Source organism: Homo sapiens, chromosome 4, assembly GCF_000001405.40.
Source record: "Homo sapiens chromosome 4, GRCh38.p14 Primary Assembly".
Classification (NCBI taxonomy): Eukaryota; Metazoa; Chordata; class Mammalia; order Primates; family Hominidae; genus Homo; species Homo sapiens.
The window spans coordinates 7,240,495-7,256,323 of NC_000004.12; the positions used below are offsets into that span (position 1 = coordinate 7,240,495).

The 15,829-nt window shown below is 54.1% G+C and overlaps 1 protein-coding gene across 8 annotated transcripts in view, besides 1 other annotated feature; it reads left to right on the forward strand.

Moving 5' to 3' along the window:
• The window catches only part of SORCS2 (sortilin related VPS10 domain containing receptor 2), a 550,290-nt gene that overhangs the window by 47,957 nt on the left and 486,504 nt on the right, over positions 1-15,829 (forward strand). The window lies entirely within an intron of this gene.
• Positions 4,179-4,679: an enhancer, noted in NCBI's record as "H3K4me1 hESC enhancer chr4:7246400-7246900 (GRCh37/hg19 assembly coordinates)". NCBI's record gives its function as "activates a minimal SCP1, AML or CMV promoter by ChIP-STARR-seq in primed H9 embryonic stem cells {active_cell/tissue: H9 hESC(primed)}" and the evidence as "EXISTENCE:reporter gene assay evidence [ECO:0000049][PMID:30033119]".

A 15,829-nucleotide genomic window follows, 5' to 3' on the forward strand; every position in this document is an offset into this window, starting at 1 on the left:
ATCTTCCTCTGATTCTGCCGAACGTTTCCCCGTCCTCGTGGTGGAGGTGGGAACTGCGCAATGCTGGGAAAGGTTGTGACTGCCCTGAGGCCCAGCCGCCCTGAGAGCTTGGTCCTGTCCTTGTTTTCTGGGCTGGGCTGTGTCTGCATGTTGAAGGGCTGTCTTTGAAAATGGCCTTCACTTTCTAGCCCCGGATCCTGTTGGAATCCTGAAGCTGCAACTTGTAAACCTCCCCCTGAAGGGGCAGTGAGAGTGACCATGACAGTGACAGTAAGAGCAACTGCCCGCTGTGGTGCTGTCTCCAAAACACCCTGAGAGTAGGGCTGGTGGCTGAAGTCGGGTGGTTTACACCCCGGTCGACCTTCATTTGCAGTTGCCAGATAAAACATAGGATTCTCAGCTCAATTTGAATTTTAGATAAGCAACAAATAATTTATTATTATTATTATTATTTTTTGAGGCAGAGTCTCATTCTTGTTGCCCAGGCTGGAGTGCAATGGCACGATCTCGGCTCACTGCAACCTCTGCCTCCCGGGATCAAGAGATTCTCCTGCCTCAGCCTCCCGAGTAGCTGGGATTACAGGCTTGTGCCACCATGCCTGGCTAAATTTTTTTTGTATTTTTAGTAGAGACAGGGTTTCACCATGTTGGCCAGGCTGGTTTCGAACTCTTGACCTCACATGATCTGCCTGCCTTGGCCTCCCAAAGTGCTGGGATTACAGGCATGAGCCACCTCACTAAAGGCCCCCATTTCCTGGGGGGCCGGTGGGGCTTGGCTGGTGGGCAGAGGACACCCAGTGTTTTAAGGTCCCTGCTTGTCCAGGCCTCACTGCCCTCTGTGTCCCTGGTTAGTGCTGTGGAGAAGGGGTGGGACATGGGCCCCGGTTGTTGTGTGGTCCAGCATGAACGCTCCCAGTGGCCCTATAGACCTCCTTTCTCCTCCTTTTCCTCACCTGGACGTGGAATGAGGGTCCAGCCTGAGTCCCTCCTCTTCACTCAGTTTTTTACTTACTGTGCACTCTTCCATGTCAGGCACTGTGAGAGGCCTGGTGCATGGTTGTGATGGCGTCAGATGATGCCCCTCCCTGCCCTTCTGGGGTGCATGGTTTGGTTGGAGGAGGCAATTTGCAGTGAGAAACAAAAGAATCCACAGGAGACGCACTGAGAACTCTGACAGTTGCCAGCACACGATGCCATTCCGTAGTCTCTCCCTGGTTAAGGTGGTTTTCATTTTCTTTTCCGTTCCGATTCTGGGTGCTTCTGAGTGCCTCACATCCGTTTGCTGAAAGTGCTGCAGAGCGACTGAGTGAGCACTTGGGGAAATGAGCAAACATCTGTGTGCGTGTGTGTGTGGCCTTGCTGGGCGCTGGGATGCTTGCTCCGCAGGCTGTTTAGCTGACGGTGTTGAGCGTCTACTCCGTGCCTGGCAGTGGGAGTGCAGGGACAGGTGGAGTTCACAGCATCCCTGGCTGCAGCTGAGTGCAGCTTGACTGTTGGGGGTACCGGGCAGAGGCTGCCGTTTGACTGGCGAGGAAGCTACCTACCTCTCTGTTATTACATCACCTAGGCAGCTTCAGGACCCTCAGACCCACCCTGGCTGCCGCACTGATTCGGTAGGGCCTTCCTCCTGCTGTGGCTGGTCCTTAGGAAAGCGGCTGCGTGAGAGTCACATGAGTGTTCCCTCGGAGCCTTTCAGAGCCCTGTTGTCTTCTTCTTTTTTTAAAAGACAGGGTCTCATTCTGTCATCCAAGAGTGCAGTGGTATGATCACAAATCACTGCAGCCTTGAACTCCTAGGCTCAAGGGATTATCCAACTCAGCCTCCTGAGTAGCTGCAACTACAGGCATGCACCACCACGCCTGGATGATTTTTTTTTTAAATTTTATTTTTGTAGAGTTGGGGTCTCACTATGTTGCCCAGGCTGGTCTCAAACTCCTAGGCTCAAGCAGTCCTCCCACCCCGGCCTCCCAAAGTGCTGGGATTATAGTGTGAGCCACTGCACTGGTCTTCTGAATCAATCCCTGAATCTTTAGCTCACTGCGTCATCCCCAAGCCCGTCTCTTCCCCTTCCTCTCCACCTTGGCTGGACACCTGGGCTATCATGTCCTTTGCTCTCTCTTTCTGGAGTGAATTTCTCCCTATTCATCCTGCTTTCCCAAGCCCGCCCACACTTCCAGGCCCAATTCAAATGTTAGCTTTTGGGTGAAGCTTTCCCAGCCCCCTCCAAAGTGGCTTTCCCCTGGTCCAGACTCCGTGGCCATTACTTCCCCCAGGATTTGAGCTGATGCTCGGTCAGTCTTATACCAGAGTTAGCTGCAAACATGTCTATGAGCGCCCCAGCTTGTCGCCTGCAGTGGGCAGGGATCACACCTTACCATTCCCAAGTTGCCGTCACAATCGCTTGGCCCAGGGCTCAGCACCGGGAAAACGCTGGTTGGATGGGAGGCACTGGGGCGCCCATGGTGGGCTAGCAGTGACACATGCTGGTGAGTTTCCAGAGGACGGTCAGCCCTGGTCCTCCTTGAGTGCGTCATTGGCTGCAGGGCCCCTGGGGGTTGAGGGTTGGCTCGGCGCCCTGGTGAGGTGCTGACCCCACCCCACAGGCTTTCTTTCTCCATGAGGGATCTGAGTTCCCCCTCCCCATCCACGCACAAGCTCTGGGGGATTGCACTTAGTTGTCACGTGGGATGTTCTGGTCTCGCCAGCATTGAGATGCTCTCTGAGCTATAGAAATGGCAAGGGCTGGATTTAGGAGGTAGGTTTTGGATTTTGGGCAAAGAAGGGGCTAGGGTTGAGGAGATCTTGGCCATTCTCCTCCCTGCTAGGCTAAGCTGAGAACCGAGGTTCAGAGAAAGTGGTGTGATTTGTCCCCTGCGTGATGGTCTCCAAGACCACCCCTAGGAGTGGTGATTTGCTAGGGGAACTCCCAGGCCTTGGCAGTGAGAGGAGAGAGACAAGGCCAGACCAGCTGAGGGAAAGGTGCGGGGAGTGAAGGCTGGAGGAGCCCGGGCTCCAGCTTCCAGAACCCTCTCCCGGCAGAGCCACACGGCACAGGCCTGATTCCTCTGGCATCTCATGATGACACCCGTGAAACACCGTCTATCAGGGAAGGAACTGGCTGCACAGGCTCCCTCGCCAGACACACACCAAAACTCCAGACTCTCAGAAGGCCAGCGGGTGGTCGTTGGCATGAATCATGTGGTTTGCACAAACAGCAAAGGCACACTGAGCCCTGCTTCTCAGTTAGGGCGTGGGGATCCCCCCCCACAAACCCAAGTTCGCAGACGCCAGGCAAGCAGGTAGCTTCCCTGCGAGGGCAGGCCGGCCTCTGGGTCAGCACCTCACCAGGGCACCAGGCCAAACCCTTCCCTGCTCTCTGTCTTCACATGCATTCCCCTCTCCCTGGCACGCAGCAGGCCTGGCCCGATGGTGGGATTCCGGTGGAGCTGGGTGTGCACCAGGTGGACCGGGAGGGCCATGGCCAGAAGGAAATGCTCGCCCTGTTCTTGGTGTTGAGTCGTCTCCTCTGCTCAGCGGAGTCACCTCTGTCTCTTTGCCCCTATTTGTCGTTGACTCACTGCAGCCTTTCCTGCATGGAACGGGAAAGAGGGTCCCCACTTCTGAAGCACATAGGAAGGGGCGGCTCCCCTGGGAACAGGGGCTGTGCTCCTCCCAGCCTCCAGAACCTGCCAATCTCCGTTCTTGGAGCTGACAACTCCCAGCTTGGCTAAACCCCAGCAGCACTGCGAAGGCTTCTCCACTTGGAACAAGCTTGGGGGGTGAGTTTCTCCAGCTCATGCACTCCCCCCGAGTGGTTATTTATCCCCAAAGTCATTCCGAAGATTCATGGGTAAGGGCTTTCAGCGGCCTCCTATTCCCCGCAGATGCCAGCCTGCCTGGTGGAACGCGGCGCTGCTCCTGCAGGAGTGGACGGCGTTCCATCTTCGCCACCACACCCGCTGCTCCGTCCCTGCCCCTCGGTCGCTGTTGCATATTAAGTGCAGGGTGCCCGGCAGGCCTGCCAAGGCCTTTTCAGGGCCCATGTGTTCTCAGGGGAGATGAAAAGCGTGAAGCAGGCGTGGTGTGGGTTGGCCTTGGCACTGCACCCCTGGTTCCAAGCACTGAGGGCCCCCTGGAATCCCCCTGGGAAGACTGAAGGCCCAGCAGACCCCACTCTGTGCGGTTGCCCCTACTCTGACACTCTCACCCATTCCTACCCTGACTCCCACCTACCTCCCCCAACTCTTGTTTAAACAATTAGGGGTGAACTGTTTTCGGCCATTGGGAAAAGGAGGCTGCAGCCGGGACAGGCTGCTCAGCAGCTTTTGTTCTGCTCAAGAGCAGGGTTTTCAGAATCTTGGTGAGGGAGTGTGTGCTTAATATGCCAGTCAGCGAGGCTGGACCTGAGTACCCAGCCCAGCCCGCCGCCCCTTCCTTGGCCAATTGGCTGAGAAGTGGGCAGTTGGAAGGGGGGTGGCTGGAGGGGGGTGGAGTAAGCCACCATGGGAACCCAAGGTGGCCGCCTACCTGGGCCCAGTGAGCTCAGAGTTCAGCAAGCGTGGATGGGGCCGAGGGTCCTGTCTCCTGGCAAACCAATGGGGTGTGGACAGTGAGAGTGGGCGGGAGGCTGGGCCGCTTCTTCCCCCTTCCCCCTGGAAGCTGCAGGAGCCTGGATGCAGGTCCCTTCTGGTCCCAGTCACCTCCCTACCCTCCCCAGCTGGTTACCTCCTCCAACAGGGTCTCTTTGGGTAGAAAACAGGCAAAGCCACAGTGGTCCACCCCCCACCCCGGCTTGGCTTACCTGGACCTGGTGCGCCATGGATGTGGACATGCGGTTCTCATCCCTGCTGCACACCGGAGGTGGCCTGGAGCTCCTTGCTCCTCCGGGATGCCCGTTTCAGGACTGATATGGAATTTTTCTGGTGGAACAATTAGGTTAGCACAGTCTGATGTAATTTCTTTCTGAAATAACTTGGGCTTTAGAGTCAGAAAGACCTGGATTCCACTCTGGCTCTTGCTAGTTGCGTGGCCTCGGATGATTCCTCAGGGTCTTTGGTTTCTCCATCTGTGAAGTGGGACCAATGTTAGTGCCTCCCAGTGCAAGGTCGTGGTGAAGATTTCAAATGTGCACAGACGCGAGAGTGTCAGCCATTGCTATTGGTGGTGGTGGTGTTATGGTCGCCCCCAGCTCCAGTGCCCAGAGCGGAGCCTGATGTGGGGCAAGCGCTTGGTGAGTGTAGAACTGAAATCAGTGACCCTCTGCTGGGTGGAGAGATGAGTCCCAGCCTGGGGTTTAGGGACATGGGTGCTGTCCCTGCCGTGAGGAGTGAAGGGCAGGCAGGACAACTCCCCCTTTACAGATGAGGAAACTGACTTTCAGAGATGGCAACTGACTTGTTCAGGGTTGCCCAGCTGGGCTCAAGTGCTAAGAGTAAATGCAATGTTGCATGTCACAGACTGGCGGCGTTTGGTACCCAGCCTTGCCGTGATACTCCCGGGGTGCATTTTGCCTTGATGCCTGGTTCTGTCAGTCAGAAAGGGATTGTGCCAAATCCCTGGGTATCTGGGAATTCCCTGAGACTCCAGTTTAAGGGGGCTTCATGCAACTTAGCAGTCATTCCACACTATGCAATTTCAGTCCTGGGTGAGTACTGACAGCAGCCACAGCCGTGCAGAAAATGCACACGTGAGTGCTGCATCATTCTATGGCCTGGGTCCTCTGTGTCCCAACACATGTTCCCCTGGATTCTGGGTACCTGGTCACATCCATGTAAGGAACCCCCATCCACCTGTGCCCTTTGGCACTCTGACCAAACACATCCGGATCCCTCCAGGGTGTTATTATGGCTTAAATGAACCCACAGATCTCACCCAGGGCTTAAATGAACCCGCAGATCTCACCCGGGGCTTAAATGAACCCACACATCTCACTCGGGGCTTAAATGAACCCACACATCTCACCTGGGGCTTAAATGAACCCACACGTCTCACCTGGGGCTTAAATGAACCCACACATCTCACCTGGGGCTTAAATGAACCCACAGATCTCACTCAGGGCTTAAATGAACCACAGATCTTGTCTGTGGCTCAAAGCCAAAGTGTTGGTGCCAGGGACTGGGGTTTCTGTTCCCATGTTGCCTTGGGCCTTTGCTGCTCTAATCCAAAGGAGCAGTGATGGGAAGAGCCAGGTAGCATCTGGAGGGAGATGGGGCTGGGGAATCTGCACTCTGAGATCCGAGCCTTCCCTTCCCTGGTGAGAGATGCTCCTCATGAGCTGTGAGCGTGCGCTTTGGATGTGGAGTGTGCACACGATGGCCATGATGAGGGCCTGGAACTCTTTCGCCGTGACTCGGCTGTGCCTTCCACCAGCAACTCTCCACCTCCCCACAGCCTCCTGCCATCTCTGGAGGCACAGTCCTCCCTCCGTCCAGGCTCTACCCGCTTGCCTCCTCCTCCAGGGTCCCCTTCCTTATTCCCCAGCTAGAAGTGGGTTCCTCTCCCTCCTGGCCCTCTGTGCCTTTACAGGGGCTCAGGAAGTGTCTGCATAACAAGCCAAGGTGAGAAGGCCAGTGAGATGTTTGGTGAGGGGAGCAGTGGGCCTACCTGACCTGATTAGGCCTTCACATGTCCACAGTTGCTTTCTGAGCCCAGGGGTCACCAACAAGACCCCAGGTGTGGCAGGTAGGAGCACGGGAGTGTGGTGTGGCCTGAGTACAGAATTAGGAAGGCTTCAACCACCCATGATGTGTTTTCATTGCAGCCCAATGTGACTAAGAATTACATACTGTAAACGGATGTTTCTATCTTTAATTTTTTTTTTTTTGCCTTTATTGGAGGCTTTACTGTTTCTGGGTAATGAAATCCATTATCTGGTTTTCAGTGGAATACTTAGAAGAGAAAATTATTGGAATGAATAAACAATGCAATATTTGTACCTAAACATTCCTTTAAAATATAATGAAAAACATTTTGTCAACACTTGCAGGGTTTTGGTTGTTTGGCCAACCATAAACGGCATCGTAAAACAAAGCAAAGAAGCAAGTTTGTTAATCTTCATGAGGACTATTCCTGTGCGTTTTCTGTGGAGGATTTGGAACATAAACAGGGCGTGTTAGGGTTGCTGGAGGGACGGGAGGGGCAGCGCTTTTTGTTTTGGTGGATGTCAAAGCCAAGGCTACGAGAGTGCTGGAGGTGGGCAGCGGGGCGCGGCCTGGGGGACCTGGCGACCCTGGCGAGGGGCCTGCTTCTTTGCTGAGCCCCAGCTCCTCATCTTTGAACTGGGGATGCAGGTGATGTTTCCTGGGGAAGCCGCCTTGGAGGACCACTGCGTGGTCAGATAAGCTGGTGGGTGGGAAAGTGCTGAGCAGAGGCGGAAGGCCTGCACCCTGGTGACAGCTCCCACTCAGATCCTAGGAGGGCGCGACTCTGTCCTGTCAGCAACGGGATCCCCCCAAACTCCTTACTCCATGTATGACAGGAAGAGTCCCTCTGGGGAAGGGACAGCCCTGGGAAGGGGTGTCAAGGGAGCAGGGTGTCTTCCCCACCTGAGAGCCGAGCCCCATCATACACACAGCCCCGGGGGCCATGGGTTTCATGAAAGGTCTGGCCGGGCCTGAGCCCGGATCCCAGCTTAGCCACCGACTGTGTGTGGCCCCCCTACCGAGGGAGGCTACACAACCCCAGGCTGCTCTCGGGAAAGCTGGTGATTCCATGATCGCATGGGGTCCTTGCGGGGCTCAGCTGAGAGGCTGTGTGTGGAGGGTGTTTTGTCAGTTGGAGAGTGCTCTACACACGCTAAGGTTCCAGGCCGGCAACTCCTTCTGCAGGTGTACAGGTCACCGTGGGGGGGCCCTGGGATGGATTCAGACATTATAATCACCACACCAGGTGCGTGTCCTAGCTGTGTGACTTTGGTCAAGTTACTTAACCTCTCTGGACCTCCAATTCCTCATCTGTAATAAAGAAGATGATGACCTTTCCGTGCCAGTGTCCTGTGAGAATTGAAGACAGAATCTGTGAAGTGCCTGGCCTGCCAAAAGCCTTCTGGAACAGTAGTGATGATCACTGTCATCGTGTGTGACCCTGGGCTGTGTGCCTGTCTTGTCTCATTCTCAGTTTTCTCATCTGTGAAAGGACAGAATTTGACTAGTCTATTTTTTAAGGTCCTTGTTCTTTATTCGATTTTATTCCTCTTTCCGGGTGTACACTACTTTTTTAGTAATTATAATATTTGAAGCCCAATGCTTTAATCAGACTTTGGCAAAAATAACTGATCACCTTAAGAAGACAAATGTTCCAGAGATTGGAGAATTCCATTCGTGGCCTGAGAAAGGCTGGCTTCTGTGTTAGGCCAGGGTATGAGGATAGCTCAGGGGGTGGGAACCCTGAGAGCTTGTGTCTGGCACTGTAGGGATGGGGACTTGATGAGCCATTGGATTAGGCCAGCAGGGTTTTAGCCAGAAGTATCATGGGCCCCTTGATTTTTACTGTAAGTCAGTTTGGCACTGGTATGTGGGATTATGCAGTTTGTATCAGTCAGGATAGGTAGATAGTGCTGCAGTAACAAACAGCCCCAAATCTCAGTGGCTTAAAAGAATCATATTCTATTATCTCATGGTTATATGGGTTAACTGGATCCCCTGAATAGTTCTTGCTTGCTTGTGTTCAGATGGTGGCTGGGACTGGAGTCCTTTGAGGCTCAACCGGGCTGGGTGTCCAAGCTGGTTTCTTCACTGACATTTTAAGTACCTGGGCTGGAATGGCTGGAAGAGCTTGGGACTGGCTGGTGTCACTCTCTCTCCTGCAGCCTCTTCATGTGGCTTGGGCTTCCTCACAGCATGGTGGTCCCAAGAGTGACTGTTCCAAGAGTGGAAGTGGAAAAAAAAGTGGAAGCCACCTATGTCTTAAGGCTGAAACCAGAAGCTGGCACAGTGTCCCTTCAGCTGTCTTCTGTGGGCCGAGAAGTTGCAGAGCAAGCCCAGGTTCAAGGGGAGGGGACATATTCACCTTTTGATGAGAGGAGTATCAGAGAATTTGTGGCCATCCTTACTGTGCCACTGTCATTTGTGAGGGCTTCTAGGGCGCCAGGTCCTTGTCTAGGGGCTTTTCTGTGTCACTTCATTCATGCCTCTGTGACATCCTGGTAGATGGGACTATCACAGTCCCCATTTTACAGATGAGGAACTAAAGGTGGACGGGGAAGTAACTTGCTCAAGCCCTCGCACAAAGCACGTGGTGGAGCTGGATTCAAACACAGAACTCCCTTCCCCTCCTGCGGTATTGACATGTGCAGTATAGACGACAAGAAAAAAGATGCCAGGACCCGCAGGTTTCCTCTCTCTGGTAAAAGCTGGATTTATCCACTCAGATTTGCTCTATGTGGCCCCTGAGCAGGGCCCACGGTGCGTGTGAGCATGCCCTCAGCAGGCTGAGGCAGGAGTGAGTCTTCTCTAAGAAAGAGGGGTAGGCTGGACGCGGTGGCTCGTGCTTGTAATCCTAACACTTTGGGAGGCCGAGGCGGGTGAATCACTTGAGGCCAGGAGTTTGAGACCAGTCTGGCCAACATGGTGAAACCCCATCTCTACTAAAAATACAAAAATTAGCCAGGTGTGGTGGCATGCACCTGTTGTCCCAGCTTCTCAGGAGGCTGAGGCAGGAAAATCACTTGAACCCGGGAGGCGGAGGTTGCAGTGACCTGAGATCGCGCCACTGCCCTCCAGCCTGGGTGATTGAGCGAGGGCTCTGTCTAAAAAGAAAGAAAGAAAGAAAGAAAGAAAGAAGGTGAAGGCCTGCTTCCATCAGCAATTCTCCCACCACCTGGGCCTCTTTGTCTTTGAAGGTTTCTTTTCTGCAGGCTGCTCTATGCGTCATTTAAAAAACCCCCACGGATCCCCTTTAACGGGAAACACGCTGGCTCTTCTGGTGTGGTTTCAAGTCAGCCAGCTTATTCCAGAGACATTTCGTTGTGAGTATTAATAAAAACAACATGCATTTTTGTATGTTTCCATAGAGACTTTCCAAGATTTATGTCCCTGAGACATATCGTTGGATCCTGTGGAATAACTACGTTCCCAGCGTCCCGTGATATTCTGCAGGTCTCCCCGGCTGAGAGGCAGATGTTGAGGCCATTTGTGTATGAACAAGAAAAGGACAGACTCAACCGGCCTTGGGGTCTTTCATGTATTCGGGGAGTGCGAGGTGTCAGGGTACAAAGAGGCGAGGCCGAGGAACAGCTGGGCAGGCAGCGCTTTTGCGGCTGCAGTTGGGGCTGCTTGAAAGTGGACTGTGTCTGCCAAGAACAGTGGGTTCCCTTTCACTTTGTTACTTAATAGGAGAAACCCAGGCTTTCGCTGAAGGCGAGAAGAACGGGGCCTTTTAATATGGACTCGTTGCCGGAACCGCCACGACACCAGGGCAGGCTGGCCAGTGGGCGCAGGGCCAGCCACCAGAGGCAACGAGGAATTCTGGTGAGGACGCTGGAGTGGGCATTAGGAGGGTAGAATTCTTGTCCCTGTCTGCCACCAAAGACTGGGTGACTTGGGCTAAGACAGAGCTCTGTGGGTCCCAGTATCCTTGTCTGTAAAATGGGTGCATTGGGATAATAGCCTTTGATTTGCAGGTGACTGAAGCCCAATTCAAAGTAGCATGAGAAGAAAAGAGGACTATATATGACTTTGCATCATGGAAAGTTTCAAGGGTAGTGGCCAGCTTCAGGTGTGGCTTGTTCCAGGGGCTCAAACAATGCCTTCTGAGCTCTGCCTCTTTTCTTGCTCTCTGGTCTCTGCTAAGGGATTTGCTCTGGAGGTAGTAAGGAGTCATCATAAAATTTTATTAGGGAATTGAACAAATTTTTTAAATTAAAACAAATATACATACGAATATTCAAAACGTGGAGAGAGGGTTGGGGGGACCAGGACTGATTTTCACCTTGTCCAGTTGTTAGAACATCTCACATTGTAGTGTACAGGAGGGCTCACTGTAAGCCGTAATGTGCTGTTCTCAAGACTAGGAGTTATTGCAACATGATAGCAAGCAAGTACTGGATCAAGATGACCAGGATTCTGACCTTGGCTCTGACACTTTCACAGGTTCTGTGGCTCTGGGAGGGAGTGCGCTCCTGCCTAAGCCTCAGTGTCCCTTTGGGTAAATGGGTATGATAGGATCTGCCACACTCCCAGGCATCACGTCTGCATTCCAGGCAGGAAGAAGGGGATGGGGAGGTGAGAAGTCCTCCAGAGACAAGGTTTTTTAAAAAGCGATCCCAGAACCCCCACCATGTGACTTTGCTTATGTCTTGTTGGTCGCAGCTGGATCACATGGCCACCTCTACAGCTCCTTTGGAGTCCAGGAAGCAGGTGTCTCAGCTGAGCACATTGCATCCGGGACAGAATTGGGTTTGGGTGGCAAGGAGAAAGGGGAAAGCAGGGACTGGGCATCCCACATTCTGGGGGCAGGACCTAATGATGACAGCGGCCAGTACTTATGACACACACCCCTCTGGCTGAGCCTCCTCTAAACGTATGGTGCCAGTCATATCACTTGCAAGGTGGAAAAGGGTCTGGGAAGGCCTCGAGTCACTCAACTCCCTGACCCCTGCAGTACCACCCTCAGCAGTGAGCCCCTCACCCCTGGCCTGAGTCATGTTGCAGAGCTGAGATACTACCTGGCATCTGGGGGGCCTCAGCACTTGTGGAGGCTGGGGAGTCGCCAAGGAGGCCCGAGGCAGGAGAGTGGGAGGGCAGGGTCTTCCAGAGAGAGGGTGAGCAGGGGCTCTGGGGGAGGAAACTGCAGGAACTGAGGGGCCAGTGTGGCTGGGAGGGAGGGCATGCTGGGGCCAGGTGTGGGCAGGATGGGCCCGGGTGGGGCAGGGCAGAGCTCAGGGGCCGGCAGTGCATGGGTTTAGAGCAAACCGCAAGACTCTGGGGGCTGGCCAGGAGGGTGGTCCGTGCTTCTCACCCCCTTCTCTTTTTTTGGAATGTTCCTATGATGGTTGAACTTTTTCATTGAACATGTGTTACTTTTATAACACAAAAGAAATAATAGAGTGATTTGACTTTTGAAAATAAAGGCTCTACATACTTCCCCAAATGTCTTTGCACCAGACAGCGACTCTTTATTAGCTCCACCTTCACAAGCCCTGAGTGACCGTGCAATTCATCACCCAAACCAGGATGCTTCTGAGAGGGGCTGGGGGTGCGGGAGGGATTGGCATTGTGCCGGTCTGACAGGCGTCAGCCAGGACTGTTGCAGGCATGGAGGGCCCTTCCTCACCTAAACCCCAAACAGATGAGGCTTCTAAAAATTATTATAGATGAAAATCTCCAACCAGCCTGGTTCCTCATGAGTGGCAATCCAAAATCATTATTGCATTCCGTTTAGAAAAAATTGAAACTGTCGAATGGAAAATCCCCCTTAGCTGGCTGGGTACGTGGCGTTATCTCTGTTCCCCAGATGGAGCCTCAGGAAGCTGCATGACTGTCCCAGCTCAGAGCCAGCATTTGGGACAGAGGCCACAGCTTGGACCCCTGACACTGCCTGGACTCAGCCCCTGAATCCCCCAGCTGGGCTCAGCCCCCCATGGCTGGTTTTTCCTAATTCAAGAGGCACCTGGAGGATCAAGGGTGTCCTGGTGATCACAAAGCCTGGCCGTCCCGGCCTTTGAGGTCTCCTGAGCAGCCGGGCTAAGGATGCCAGGTCTTATCGCCATCCCTGTCTCAGACTCCCTTGTCCCCAGGAGCCCTCCCAACAAGGTTTGCTGCAGGGACAACCTGAGCCTCGCCGGGGAGGAGAGACCCTGGGGCAGCTCTGGGGTCCAGGGCCCCAAGGCTCCATCCTGAATCTGTGGCCCTGTGTCCCTGCCTGCCTCTGGTCCATTGCCTATGACATATTCAGTTTATTCTGAGCAGTGACACGGGCCGTCCCCCTGTTCTCATTAGGGATCTGTAGCTCATTCCAGGCCCAGCGAAGGCACTACAGAAGAGGGATGGTGTTCCCTGCAGGGGTGCACGAGGACCCCTCTGGTGCCTGCCTTTGTTCCCCCACTGAGTGCCGGGGCGGAGGAGGTGTCCAGGGGGCAGGTGGCCAGGGCGCCCCCAGCTCCCTCCCAGATGAGGTGGTGTCATAGGAAGGATTCAGGGGCCCACAGGGTCACTGGGGAGGAGGTGGCATGAGCCAGGCTGTGAAGGCAGTGCTCTATGGTGAGAGGTGCCCAGCTCCTGAGGGGCCAGGGAGGATGTGCTGGCAAGGCAGCCCCTCCAGGTGGGCAGGAGGCCCCTGCCTTGCAGGAGGGTACACGCACTGAATCCACCTCCTGAAGAAGTCACGGGATTCCGTGGATGGAATTTGCCTCTTCCTGCAGCTAGGTGCTGGTTCCTTGTGACCCGGGTCCCAGGCAGCTTTGTTCTCCAGGGTAAGAGTTATATGAAAAAAATCTCAGCATTGCTCTTCATCAGAGAAATCCAAATCAAAACCACAATAAGATATCATCTCACCCCAGTCAGAATGGCTAGTATTAAAAAGACAAAAAGTAACAGATGTTGGCATGGATGCAGAGAAGAGGGAACTCTTAGGCACCGTTGGTGGGAATGTAAATTAGTTCAGCCACTGTGGAAAACAGTATGGGGATTTCTCAAAGTGCTAAAAATAGAACAATCATTAGCTCCAGCAATGCTACTATTGAGCATCTACCCGAAGGAAAGGATCAGTGCATCAAAAATATACCTATTCGTATGTGTATTGCAGCACTGTTCACAGCAGCAAAGATATAGAATCAAACTAAGTGTCCATCCATGATGAATGGATAAAGGAAATGTGGTCTAGACACACCATGGAATACTATTCTGCCATAAAAAAGTATGAAAGCATATCTTTTGCAGCAACATAGATGGAGCTGGAAATCATTATCTTAAGTGAAACAAGCAAGGTACAGAGAGTCAGATATAGCATGATCTCACTCATAAGTGGGTACTAAGAAGTGTGTGTCCATGGACTTATGAGTGTGGAGTGATAGACAGTGGAGACTCGGATGGGTGGCAGGAGCATGATGACAAGTTGGTCAATGGGTATAATGTACATTATTTGGGTGATGGATACACCCACTATACCATCTATGTGTATAACAAAATTGCACATGTGCCCTATAAATCTGTACAAATAAAAAGGAAAAAAAGAGGGGCGGGCTGACACCCAGGGCCTTGGGAATTCCATGGACGTGACTTTGGATGCTCTGAGCAGTGCTGGCTGTATGGGCTTGGGCCGGTGACTGGGCCTGCTTGGACCTCGGGTTCTGCATCAGGAGGATTCTAATAACAGTGACTGTGCAGTGCTGTTGAGAGCAGAGTCTCTCACATCTCCATGCACACAGCCCCCGGGGACCTGTCAGAGTGCAGATCTGACTCAGCAGGTTTGGGCCGGCTGTGTTCCCATGAGGTCCCAGGGCATCCGATGCTACATCTGCAGCCCAAGCATGGGCAACGGGGAGAGCATGGGTGGGAGGTGTCTGCTGTGCACAGATGAGTATGTGAGCATGTGTGTGAGCATGAGTGTGTGAGAGTGAGTGTGTGAGCGTGCGTGAGAGAGTGTGACAGAGTCCAGAAGGCAGGAATTGGCTTTCTCAAGCCTTTTCAGGCTTCCATTCACCCACCCATTCACTCAGCAAGGCACTGAGCGGTCAGGTCAGGTTCCTGCCCTAGCGGAGGTGACAGTCCCATGCAGAAGAAGGCAAGTGTAACCAGTGCTTCCCGGGCAGTTTCCGTGGGCCTTGGGAGAATCTAACAGGTGGCTAAGCAGGGAGAGCTTCCTGGAGGAGGCGGCTTTCATCTGGGACCTAAAGGGAGATCCTTGTTCATCTTCATATTGTGCCGTAGTTCCTGGCAGACGCAGGAGCCTCAGTATGAATGGGCTCAGTGAAATAGAACTGAAGTGAGTTGGAGCGAATTGTCAGGGAGTGTGGGAGGCAGGAATGGGAGATGGCGTTGGAGAGAGGGTGTGCTGGGGAGGCGGCTGTGATGGGGGTCCAGCCCTTCTGAGTGGATGGATTGCTTGAGCCTGAAGCCTGATGCCTTCTCCCTGTCCACGTGGTCCAGAGACAGGCCTGAGTTCCGGGGCTCAAGAAGCTGGTTAGCCTCGTCTTCTCAGGCTTGGATCAGAGGTCAGGCGGGGGCCGGCTCCTGGGGAGCTTCTGCTCACAGCCATAACTGAGAAACCATCTGTTCCAATCTTTCATCTAACTAGGCCTGTGGTGTTATCTGTCCACCTGCCACAGACAGGCCAGGGCATGCCCTGGGCAGAGCGGCTGTGCAGTGGGGCCACTGGAGCCCCGGGGTTGGAGCGTGGGGACCCGGGGTTGGTGCGTGGGGACCCGGGGCTGGAGCGTGGGGCCCCGGGGCTGGAGCGTGGGGACCCGGGGCTGGAGCGTGGGGCCCCGGGGCTGGAGCGTGGGGACCCGGGGCTGGAGCGTGGGGCCCTGGGGCTGGAGCGTGGGGACCCGGGATTGGTGCATGGGGACCCTGGGCTGGAGTGTGGGGTCCTAGGTCTGGCCCCACTGGGGCTGGCCTTGCTGGGCAGGTCGTGCTGTCTCTCCAGGTCTCTGCCTCCTCACTTGCCTAGGGTCTACAAACTCGGACCTCTTCAGGTGCCAGGAGGCCATGGGTGTCTGGGGCAAGTGTCCTGAAGAACAGCCCTGGGGCAGGGAGAGGCTCTTGAGAGTGGGGAGAGCGTGCCTGGTGAGCACATGCCCGCTCAGAGGGGACAGCACTTCTTTGCTCCAGCCAGGGCCGCCACGAGGGACCAGGGAGTGGCATTTCCAGATCTTTTGATTATTCTAGAGAAT